General features: G+C 47.9%; 1 protein-coding gene and 1 long non-coding RNA gene across 2 annotated transcripts in view, besides 2 other annotated features; one reads left to right on the top strand and one right to left on the bottom strand.

Moving 5' to 3' along the window:
• RAB11FIP4 (RAB11 family interacting protein 4) overlaps positions 1–12427 on the bottom strand; it is a 146537-nt gene that overhangs the window by 106542 nt on the left and 27568 nt on the right. The gene's annotated exons all lie outside the window — the stretch shown is intronic.
• On the top strand, positions 5554–6386 carry LOC105371725 (uncharacterized). The gene is made up of 2 exons (XR_934661.3): positions 5554–5624; positions 6120–6386. It is a non-coding gene; the product is annotated as an uncharacterized LOC105371725 (long non-coding RNA).
• Positions 6024–6751: an enhancer, noted in NCBI's record as "OCT4-NANOG-H3K27ac-H3K4me1 hESC enhancer chr17:29751937-29752664 (GRCh37/hg19 assembly coordinates)". NCBI's record gives its function as "activates a minimal SCP1, AML or CMV promoter by ChIP-STARR-seq in primed H9 embryonic stem cells {active_cell/tissue: H9 hESC(primed)}" and the evidence as "EXISTENCE:reporter gene assay evidence [ECO:0000049][PMID:30033119]".
• Positions 6153–6353: a silencer, noted in NCBI's record as "peak2797 fragment used in MPRA reporter construct". NCBI's record gives its function as "represses an SCP1 promoter by STARR-seq MPRAs in K562 erythroleukemia cells {active_cell/tissue: K562}" and the evidence as "EXISTENCE:reporter gene assay evidence [ECO:0000049][PMID:32103011]".

Below are 12427 nucleotides of genomic sequence, written 5' to 3'. Positions count from 1 at the left end.
CCATGGGGCCACTTTATTCTCCCCATGGTGACAGACAACTCGGGCAAAGAAAAGCAGAGCCAACACCGGCTCCTCCCTGAGCACACCCTCCCTGAGCACACGGCTTCAGGGGCCGAGCCTCCTTCCCCCAGGGACTGCACAATGAAAGCCGAGGCTCTGCCGATGTTTTAAAATTGGTTTCTTTCACACAAAACAGACACAAACTCATTGTAAATGACCCAGAAATCCCACCATTTCTCTTGTTCTATTTCTTGTTCCAGGTGCTGGCTAGATGGGGAAACTCACTGAGATGGACACTGGTGGCTGATGAACTTTTCTGTTCTATTTGTACCTTGCACTTCAATGAAGAGTGTTAGATGAATAAGGAAGTAAGTTTTCACCTGGCAGAGTCAGCCATCCCTGAGGTTGGAGAGTTTCTCTCCCGTGTAACAGGAGGTAGGACAGAAACAGTTTCCATGCTGCTTGGTGTGTACAACCCACGTTGTTAGTGGCTGTAACACATTCTGCCCGGTGGGTTCATCATAATTTACTTCACCACCCCTAATAGCTGGGCATTTTGGTTATTTCCAGCTTTTTGCTTTTACAATTCATCTTTGGGGGTTCCTGCAGCTGTGTGGATGACCCATCAACCCCCGGCCTCTCAGATCCTTGACTTTCTTTTTGCCTCATATTCCACCTCAGGCACCAAGTCCCTTGGTCAACCCAGTGATCACCCCCTCCAATACCACCCATCAAATGTCCCACTCCCTGACCCCGTCCTCCCTCCCTTCCTGCCACTGCAGGGTTCTTCAGCATCACTGCGTCTGCTCACTGTCACTCACATTCAATCCATGCTCCCACTGTATCCCACAGCTCCCTCATTTCCCACACCTCTCAGGAGCCCCACCTGGTCATAGCCATCATCCTGTCTCTCCTGGATCATGCAAGTCTAACTGGATCGTGTCACCCACTCCTCTGCTTAAAACCTTCCAGTATCATTCCACCACACTTAGGATAAAAATCCAAACTCCAGGGCGGGCGCGGTGGCTCACACCTGTAATCCCAGCACTTTGGGAGGCCGAGGCGGGTAGATCACGAGGTCAGGAGATCGAGACCATCCTGGCTAACATGGTGAAACCCCATCTCTACTAAAAATACAAAAAAAATTAGCCGGGCGTCGTGGCGGGCGCCTGTAGTCCTAGCTACTCGGGAGGCTGAGGCAGGAGAATGGCATGAACCTGGGAGGCAGAGGTTGCATTGAGCTGAGATCACGCCACTGCACTCCAGCCTGGGCGACTGAGCAAGACTCTGTCTCAAAAAAAAAAAAAAAAAAAAAAATCCAAACTCCACAACACGGCCCACAAGGCCCCATGTGATCTGACCCCTTCCACTCCCTCTCCTCCCATGCTCTTCATCACTCACTGTACTCTAGCTGCACTGGCCTTTGGTCAGCTCCTCACGGAAACCACCACACTCTTCTCTGCCCCAGGGCCTTTGCACATGCTATTCCCTACAACTTGGACAGCTGTCCTCCCCATTCGCCATGTCAGTTCATCCTTCAGGTCTCCCTTTGTACCTCTATGAAACGTCCCTCCCTGAGACAGGTCTGTCCTGACCACCCCCATCCAATCAGGGCCCACCCCGCTGCTATCCTGTCTTGTAGCATCCTATACTTTCCCTTCAAACAATTTGTTGCAACTTGCTATTGTTAACTAAAAAGAGATTGACATGGAGGTCAAAGGAAATAGCGTTTATTTGGGAAACAAAGAATTGCAATTCAGGTACACGGGATCAGGACAGCCCCGAAGAGCATCCCAGGAGGCAAGTGGAGGAAGGATTCTTTTTTTTTTTTTTTTTTTTTTGAGATGGAATCTCGCTCTGTTGCCCAGGCTGGAGCGCAGTGGCGCAATCTCAGCTCACTGCAAGCTCCGCCTCCCAGGTTCAAGAGATTCTCCTGCCTCAGCCTCTCCTGAGTAGCTGGGATTACAGGCGCCCGCCAACATGCCCAGGTAATTTTTGTATTTTTAGTAGAGAGGCTGTTTCACTATGTTGGCCAGGCTGGTCTCCAACTCCTGACCTCAGGTGATCTGCCCACCTTGGCCTCCCAAAGTGCTTGGATTACAGGCGTGATCCACCACGCCCAGCCAGGAGACCAATTTTTACGGAGGATTTCCACAGAAAGTTGTTTTCAGAGGCAGCTCATTGGCTGGGCAGAAATCCTAGATTGCAAAGCCTTTCTGACTGGTGAGCTAGTCAGGGCACTCGCAGCTGAGAAATGCTGGAGACTGGCAGATCATGACTTCGGTTGCACACCCAAGTCTATTGGGATATTGTGTGGTTTGAACTTTAGCAGGTGTGAGTATCTCCCGACCTCACTGCAGAAAGCCTTAGCCTTAGTTTCTCCATACTCTTTCATGTAGTTGTATGTGTGTGGGATAATTTGATTAATTTATATCTTCTCTCTACAAAGTAAGCTCCCTAAGGGCAAGGACCCTGTCCATTCTGATCACCACTGTATACCTGGTCGCTTGCACCGTGACTGGTACATAGTAGAGGCTTCATAATATTTGTTTTTGCTCACACCTACAATCCTCTCCAAGGTCAGGAGAACCTCTGACCTTCAAGGTGGAGGTTGCAGTGATCCAAGATCGCGCCACTGCACTCCAGCCTGGGTGACAAGAGTGAAACTCCGTCTCAAATAATAATAATAATCATCATCATCATCATAATAATAACAACTTTTTTTTAAGAGCCATGTCCTCACATTATTGCCCAAGCTGGAGTGCAGTGGCATGATCATAGATCACTGCAGCCTCAAATGCCTGGGCTCAAGGGATCCTCCCACCTTAGCCTCCCAAGTAGCTGGGACTACAGGCACGCCACCACGCCTGGCTCAGAAGCCTGCTTCTAAATCTAAAACTGCTTCTAAAACTTAGTGGCAGCCCTCCCACAGCACCCATACAAGCATTCATTCATTCATTCACTCACTTATTCAACAAGTGATGACTGAGCACCTCTTACATGCCAGGCACTCTTTCAGGGGTTGATGGTGGTAGGTGCTGGTTCTGCTGGCTAGCCACACATACACAATAGTGCATACACATGTGTACACGCTCACACTCCTTGTCAGGCATCTTGCCGCTCCCCCTAATAATCACCATCAGTATCTATAGCACAGCCAGGCCAGGATGAGCTCTTTCCAGAATCTGCTCAGGCTGGGCTGCAGATGATGGATCTGAGGGCACCCGGGGCCTGCAGAGCACAGCATGCAGGAAACTGCTCACAGTCACTGTTGTCAGTGTTCACGCCATCACAGGCAGACTCGCCGGCATACCACACCACCCATCACAGGCACCGAAGCCAAACCACGTTGGGGATTCATCTATTTATAGGGACCACGTTTTTCTTGCATGCCCACAGCGTGGCAGCTGCAGCAGGGGTCTGAAGCCCTGGTCACTGCCGGTGGCCTGGCACCATGGGGGCTGTGCCCAGTGGGCTTTGGAAGGTGAGCAGTGGACAAAGAGGCCCCACCCTAACCATCTTCTCCTTGCCTGGAACCTGGCGGCTCTGTGCTTGCATCTTGATTCCAGCTGACCCTGCTTTTCCACTCTGGGGTGAGTCTGGGGTGAGGGAAGGGCAGAGGGGCCGTGCCACATTCTTTCTGTGAACCTCCCTGAACCTGGTACCTAGTGGGCTCTCAGGAAAGACCTGCAAAATTTCAGTAAAGGAGGAAAGTGGCTTTTTGCCAGCCTCCTCAACATTGCAGCTGCCCCCTCCCCCCAGCCATGCCAGCCTCTGACACTGCCAGGCAATGACGTGGCTTCTGAGAATAGCAATGCCCAGGTGCCACCTGCAGGGCTGCAGGGGAGCCCACCCACCATCCTGGCTGGCATTCCGCCTCCTCTCCTCCTGCCTTTGCATCGCTGGCATTATAGGGGGCCTGTGAATGTGGGGATGAGCCAGGGCACCCTCTACCCTCCAGCCTCCCATGCTCAGGCCTACAGTCCTCTCCAAGGTCAGGGCTCTGCCTTCATTATTTCTGAAGCAAGTCAAGGGTGGAGTCGGCCACAGAGTGCTGACTGACTGATGAGGACCCTCACCTCAAGTCCACCTAGGAGGCAGGAGTGCAGGGATTTGGATTCTGTAATCCCTGTGTCCACAGCTCCCTGAGGCTGGGAGACACTGGTGGGGCGAGCTGTCCATTCCTCTGCCAGCAAAAGCCTACCTGGGACAGAGGTGGGGGTGGGGTTGTTTGATGACAGGCAGACAGATGGGGTACTGAGGGCCACTGCATGGTCCCCGAAGCACCCACGCCATGGCCCAAGCTGCAACCGGGGGCACACCCCAGGCTGTGACCTCTCTACAGCTGCTCCCACAGGGCTCTTCAAAGAGTGGCAGCCCCAGAGTAGTGGCCACAAAAGTGCCAGGCCAGCCGGGCGCAGTGGCTCATGCCTATAATCCCAGCACTTCGGGAGGCTGAGGTAGGTGGATCACCTGAGGTCAGGAGTTCGAGACCAGCCTGGCCAACATAGAGAAACCCCTGTCTCTACTAAAAATACAAAAATTAGCCAGGCGTGGTCATGTGTACCTGTAGTCCCAGCTACTCAGGGAGGCTAAGGCAGGAGAATCGTTTGAAACAGGGAGGTGGAGGTTGCAGTGAGCCGAGATTGTGCCACTGCACTCCAGCCTGGGTGACAGGGCAAGATTCCGTCTCAAAGCAAACAAAAAACAAAAAACAAAAATGGCCAGGCACACTGATGTCCTGCCCTTTAGAAAACAAGTGTGAAATTGGGCTGGGCGTGGTGCCTGGCGCCCGTAATCCCAGCACTTTGGGAGGCCAAGGTGGGCAGATCACTAGGTCAAGAGATTGAGACCATCCTGGCCAACATGGTGAAACCCCGTCTCTACTAAAAATACAAGAAAAAGTAGCTGGGCATGGTGGTGTGCACCTGTAGTCCCAGCTACTTGGGAGGCCGAGGCAGGAGAATCGCTTGAACCCGGGAGGCAGAGGTTGCGGTGAGCCAAGATGGTGCCATTGCACTCCAGCCTGGGCAACAAGAGCAAAATTCCGTCTCAAAAAAAAAAAAAAAAGGAAAAGAAAAAGAAAAAAAAGAAAACAGGTGTGAAATTATTAGAACAATGCATGCTGGTTATTACCAATACATACCATCAACCACAGGCTCAGTGATTTTTAAAATAAATAACAGCATCATTTATGTGGAGAAGTATTGCAAATGCTTGGAGTCCACGGAGGGTTCACACATAGTCTCATTTAATCCTCACAGCAAACTTAACAGTAGCTATTATTATAGTCCCCCATTTTAAATTGAGGAGACTGAGGCTCAGAGAGGGTAAGACATTTAGACAAAGTCACTGCAGTGGTAACGCTCCCCTTTTATTTTCCTTTTTTTAAATTTAAAATTTTTGCCCACCTGTAGTGGCAACTCTTGAACCCAGGTCTTACTGACCCCAGAGAGTCAGCCACTGCTCCCTGTTGCCTTCCTGGGCCAGAGACTCTCACGGGGCTGTCTGCACTAAAGTGTTCTTTCTATCCCCTGGCGCCCTGAGCATCAAAGAAGCTTTACTCACTACGTGGGGACCCCTCGCCTTGGATCACAAAGAGTCTCGACCTTCCTGGACATCAGGTAACCTTTTGCCACAGATGGTCCTCGGCCAGACACATTCCACTGACCCAGCCCGTCATTTCACAGTTGGTGAAGCGAGGTCCCAGCGGGGGGAGGGGTTTGCTCAAGGTCACGCAGGGAGCATAGCAAATAGCCACCCCATGTGGTCTTCGTGGGGAGCCTGGGCCCCAGGCAGGGGAGCTGGGGGCCGCCCCCACCCTGGGGCACACACCATGCGTGGCTGGGCAGCCCTGGGGCTCCCCCTCTGGCTCCCAGGCCAGGAGAGACGGGTTCGCCAGGCCTGGCAGGCATTGCAGAAGCAGCTGTTGTCACTGAAGCACACACAGCTGGGCCCCAGCTTGCTGCCAGGGAAATTGGTTGTTCACTGGAAGTAAAATATTGATCTTTCCTTTTTGGGGCCACTCAATTACCAGGCTTCCCCTTCTATTTCTGTTGCCTTTCTCTTTGAGCTGATTTTTTCCCCCCACTCAGTCCCCTGGGTCACATCTCTTCTAGCTCAGACCAGATGATGTTAAAAAGCTTCGTTGCCGTTGCTGTCTGATTGATTACCAGCCAGATACTCCCTGAACCCATGCCCAGCCACCCACGCCTCCCTAATTTCAAGGTCTGAAGGCCAGATGGACTCAAGCAAGCCATTTGCCTTTCTGAAATCTCAGCTGCCTCATCTGAGCAAGTGAGATAAGCCGGCTTATCTTGCCGCTGTGAAGCTGTCTGCAAGGCAAGGTGCCTAATAAACGTCAGCCATTACTCACGGGAATCAAAGCAAATGCTTAGCGAGCCTTCCTTTGTGCCAGGCACTGTTCTGAGCGCTCTATGCATATGAATTTGTTTAATCCTCGCCACCACCTGGGAAGCAGATACCATTATTATTCCCATTTTACAGGGGAGGAAACTGAGACATAGAAAGGCAAAGTCATTCAGAATTAAGGTCACACAGTTCGTAGAAGACGGCTGAACACAAGAGGCCTGGTTCCAGACTCCATGCCCTTAGCCAGTAATTATTATTTCTGCTAAAATAATTGCAATCACTATTATTATGCTGACAGGTTTAGGGGCTTGCTCTGACCAGAGAAAGAATAAATCTGTATTCTGCTCTCTTTTAATCTAGAAAAACTGGCATTGGTACTGACAACTTTTGCTTAAGAATTTGAGTATTAAAAGAAAAATTAGGCCAGGCACAGTGGCTCATACCTGTAATCCCAGCACTTTGGGAGGCCGAGATGGGTGAATCACCTGAGGTCAGGAGTTCGAGACCAGCCTGGCCAACATGGTGAAACCCCATCTCTACTAGAAATACAAAAATTAGGCAGGGTGTGGTGGTGTACACCTGTAATCCCAGCTGCTTGGGAGGCTGAGGTGGGAGAATCACTTGAACCTGGGAGGCGGAGGTTGCAGTGAGCCGAGATCGTGCCACTCTACTCCAGGCTGGACAACAGAGCGAGACTCCGCCTCAAAAAAAAAAAAAAAAATTAGCTGGGTGTGGTGGTGCGCGCCTGTAGTCCCAGCTACTGGGGAGGCTGAGGCAGGAGAATTGCTTGAACCCAGGAGGCGGGAGGTTGCAATGAGCCAAGATTGTGACTCCATCTCAAAAGAAAAAAAGAAAGAAAAATTAATTTTGAGACACTGTGCCACTAAAGCAGAGGTGGCCAGCTAGCATCTCAGATGTGGCTTGAGGACAGACTTAAAATTAGATGCCAATATTTAAAGCCAAGCAAGCCTCCTGGTTCTGGTTAAGATGGAGTAAGCACACTACAGTCTAGCTTTCCCATTGATTATAACTAAAAACCCTGACAGAAGACATAAAACAACTACACAAGGACTGTGAAAAGTGAATAGTGGAAGGTGAATTGGGGAGGAAAACAAAAACGTTAAGTAAGATGAATACGGTGGTGAGCTTGCATATTTCCTGACCTAGACTCAGGAGCCCAAATCCCAGAACTGTGCAGCAGGTGCACAGAGAAAAAGCTACGGAAGAAACTCTCTTTCTGATGAGAAGCCGGGAAAGGGGGGCCTCCTGGGAAAAATCGAGTGGGAGAAGTGCCCTGGGTCTTTTTTCTCTCCCAGCCCCCTCCCTACAAGGTAAAACCTGTCCCAAAGGTTAGGTGGTGGCAGCAGCCGTAGCAGTCACACAGGGGGACCTAAAACTCCGAGAAAGGGAAAATCTTTTACCTGGAAAAAAATGAGAAAAAGGGGCCCCTGGAAGCTGGATAGGGCGGCATCACAGAAAGAAGGGAGCTTGAGAATATGATCCCATAAAGTTGTTGTATTTGAGGTCCTAGCCTACTCCTGAGCTGCACATACATGGAACTGACCCCAAATAACCTACCAAAGACTCTGAGAACTGAACTACAGTGTAGACTGAACAGACTGGCCCCTGGAGTATGTATACTTGGGGTGGATCTGAATAGCACTGCAAAGGCTTTGAAAACTGAACTGACATTGAAACTATAATTCACAGAGGGCAGGTTGGGATCTGAGGCGTCAACCTAACTGATTTAAAAAGCAAACAAACAGACTGGGCACAGTGGCTCATGCTCGTAACCCTAAGGCTTTAGGAAGCTAAGGTAAGAGGATTGCTTAAGGCCAGGGGGTTGAGGCTGCAGTGAGCCATGATCATGCCAATGCACTCCAGCCTAGGTGACAGAGCAAGACCCTGTCTCAAAAACAAACGAATAAACAAACAAAGAAAAAACTGACATTCTTCAGAGGATTTTAACAGGCCCCAGTGTCTTACAGTATTCCAAATGTCCAAGACACAGTCCAAAATTACTTGACATACAAAGAAACAGGAAAAGCTGACAACAATGTACAAGACAAAAGACAAAAAGGCTGGGCGCGGTGGCTCACGCCTGTAATCCCAGCACTTTGGGAGGCAGAGGCGGGCGGATCACGAGGTCAGGAGATAGAGACCATCCTGGCTAACATGGTGAAACCCCGTCTCTACTAAAAATGCAAAAAATTAGCTGGTCGTGGTGGCAGACACCTGTAGTCCCAGCAACTCAGGAGGCTGAGGCAGGAGAATGGCATGAACCCAGGAAGCAGAGCTTGCAGTGAGCCGAGATCGTGCCACTGCACTCCAGCCTGAGTGACAGAGCGAGACTCCGTCTCAAAAAAAAAAAAAAAAAAAAGGCAATCAATAGATAGATACCAATGCTAAGATGACCCAGATGTTGCCATTATTAGACAAAGACTTTAAAAAAGTTATTATAACCATGCTCCATGGTTCAGTAAAGGTGAACAATCCGAAATAAATGGAAATTTCGAAATTCTTGCAGAAAAATAGATGCTAGAAAAAAGGAACCAAATGGAAATTTTAGAACTAAAAAATACAATATATGAAATAAAAGTTCATTGGATTGGATCAATAGCAGAACGGAAATCACAGTACAAACAGTGATAGAACAACAGAAATTGCCTAATCCAAACAAGGAAAATTACCAAGGATTCAGACAAACATTATATTAAAGGGTCAACTCACCAAGAAGATACATAACAATCCTAAATGCATATGTCCCTAAAAACAGAGCTTCAAAATACATGAAGCCAAACTAATAAAATTGAAAGGAGAAATAGACAAATTGACAATCATAGTTGGAGACTTCAACACTCCTCTAGAGAATATAACCAGTTAGATAGAAAATCTAATTTTTAACAGTAGAGCTAGTTAGATGAAAAATCAACAAGGGATCTAAAAGGTCTGAATACCACCACTAACCAGCTTAACCTAATTGATGTTTATCGAACACACCACCCAAGAATAGCAGAATACACGTTCTCTTCATGTAAACATGGAACTGTCACCAAGGTAGATCATGTAGATCATATCTTGGACGATTAAACAAACTATAATACTTTTTTTGTGTGTGGTGGGGAGGCAGGATCTTACTCTGTCACCTTGGCTGGAGTGCAGCGGTGTGATCATAGCTCACTGCAGCCTCCACCTCCCAGACTCAAGCAATACTCCCACCTCAGCCTCCCGAGTAGCTGGGACTACAGGGATATGTCAACACGCCCAGCTAATTTTCTTGTAGAGACGGGGGGTCTCACTATGTTGCCCAGGCTGGTCTCGAACTCCTGGCCTCAAGAGATCCTCCTGCCTTAGCCTCCCAAAGTGCTGGGATTACAGGCATGAGCCACAGAGTCTGGCAACAAATTTTTAAAAACTGAAATTATAAATGTATGTCTTGCCGGGCGTGGTGGCTCACATCTATAATCCTGGCACTTTGGGAGGGGCTGAGGCAGGTGGATCACCTGAGGTCAGGAGTTTGAGACCAGCCCGGCCAACATAGTGAAACCCCATCCCTACTAAAAATACAAAAAATTAGCTGGGCGTGGTGGTGGGCACCTGTAATCCCAGCTTACTAGGGAGGCTGAGGCAAGAGAATCACTTGAACCCAGGAGGCGAAGTTTGCAGTGAGCCGAGATTGCGCTATTGCACTCCAGCCTGGGCAACAAGAGCAAAACTCTGTCTCAAAAAAAAAAAAAAAAAAGTCCTGTGACTATAATATAATTAAACTAAAAATCAGTCTCAGGGCTCAGTGGCTCACGTTTGTAATCCCAGAGCTTTTGGAGGCTGAGGCAGGTGGATCACTTGAGGTCAGGAGTTCAAGACCAGCCTGGGCAACATGGTGAAACCCCATCTCTACTAACAATACAAAAATTAGCTGGGCATGGTGTCCTGTGCCTATAATCCCAGCTACTTGAGAGGCTGAAGCACGAGAATTACTTGAACCTGGGAGATGGAGATTTCGGTGAGCTGAGATCACACACTGCACTTCAGCCTGGGCAACAGAGCGAGACTGTCTCAAAAAAAAAGAAAAGAAAAGAAATTTTAAAACAAGCAAAAAAATCAAAAACAGAAAGGCATCTGAAAAATCCTCAAATACTTGGGAATTAGGCAGTATGTGTCTAAATAATTCATGAGTCAAAGATGAAGTATCTTTTTGTTTGTTTGTTTGTTTGAGATGGAGTTTTGCTCTTGTTGCCTAGGCTGGAGTGCAATGGCGTGATCTCGGCTCACTGCAACCTCTGCCTCCCGGGTTCAAGCAATTCTCCTGCCTCAACCTCCCGAGTAGCTGGGATTACAGGCATGCACCACCATGCCTGGCTAATTTTGTATTTTTTAGTAGAGATGGGGTTTCTTCATATGGGTCAGGCTGGGCTTGAACTCTCGACCTCAGGTGATCCACCCCCTTCGGCCTCCCAAAGTGCTGAGATTACAGGCATGAGCCACCGCACCCAGCCCCAAAGTCTCAAGAGAAAATAAAAATAATTTAAACTAAATGAAAATGAAAATACAATACCATAAAATTCAAGCCCAAAGCAAAAGGGAGGAAAGAAATAATAAAGATAAGAGCAGAAATTAATAAAATTAAAAATGAGACTGGTAGAGAAAAATCAACAAAACCCAAATCTGGTTTTTTTTTTGAAAAGATTAACAAAACTGATGCATCTCTAACCAGAATGACAGAGAGAAAGAGAGAGAGAATACAAATCACCAATATAAAAAATGAGGCTGAGCACAGTGGCTCACACCTGTCATCCCAGCACTTTGGGAGGCCAAGGTGGGAGGATCGCTTGAGACCAGGCATTCAAGATCAGCCTGGGCAACATAGCAAGACCCCATCTCTACAAAAGATTAAAAAAATTAGCCAAGCATGGTGGCACATGCCTCTGGTCCCAGCTACCGGGGTTGGGTGAGGTGGGAGGATCGCTTGAGCCAGGGAGGTCAAGGCTGCAGTGAGCCTTGATTACACCACTGCACTCTAGCCTGGGTGACAGAGTGTGACCTTGTCTCGAAAAAAAAGAAAACAGAGATATCATTACAGTCTTACATCCTTTAAAAGGCTAATAAGGGAACACTAGAAACACTTCTACACACATAATTTCTACAACTTAGATGAGCTAATGGACCAATTCTTTGAAAAACACAAACTACCAAAACTCATGCAAGAAGAAATAGATAATCTGAACAGTCCTTGAGTGATTAAAGAAATTAATTTCCCAATTTATATCCTTCCAAAAAGGAAAACCTCAGGACCAGATAATTTCACTAAGTATTTAAGGAAAATATACATAAATTCTACACTACCTCTTCCAGAGAATAGAAGAGCCACTTCCCAACTCGTTTTATGGGGCCAGCAATAATACCCTGTTACCCAAACCAAACAAAAGCAATATAAGAAAACTACAAACCTGCTGGGCGCAGTGGCTCATGCCTGTAATCCCAGCACTTTGGGAGGCTGAGGTGGGCGGATCATGAGATCAGGAGATCGAGACCATCCTGGCTAACACAGTGAAACCCCGTCTCTACTAAAAATACAAAAAATTAGCCGGGCATGGTGGTGGGCGCCTGTAGTCCCAGCTACTCGGGAGGCTGAGGCAGGAGAATGGCGTGAACCCGGGAGGCGGAGCTTGCAATGAGCCGAGATCGCCCCACTGCACTCTAGCCTGGGCGACAGAGTGAGACTCAGTCTCAAAAAAAAAAAAAAAGAAAAAAGAAAACTACAAACCAATATCCCTCATGAACACAGATGCAATGAGCCTCTGCAAAATATTAGCAAATCGAATCCAGGAGATATATATGAAAAATATAACAAGACAAGCAGCCGAATGGGGTTTATTCAGCAAAGCTGGCCCAACATTTGAAAACTAATGGATGTAATCTAAACATGACCAAAGAAGAAAAACCTATCAAAAGATGCAGAGAAATCAAGTGGCAAAATTTAACATCCATTCATGATACCAAAAAAAAAAAACAAAAAAACTCTCAACAAAGTAGAAATATAAGGGAACTTCCTTAT

The sequence above is a fragment of the Homo sapiens genome, chromosome 17 (genome assembly GCF_000001405.40).
Source record: "Homo sapiens chromosome 17, GRCh38.p14 Primary Assembly".
Classification (NCBI taxonomy): Eukaryota; Metazoa; Chordata; class Mammalia; order Primates; family Hominidae; genus Homo; species Homo sapiens.
The sequence above is the reverse complement of the archived record's forward strand: the minus strand, read 5'-3'. Positions and strand labels throughout refer to the sequence as shown.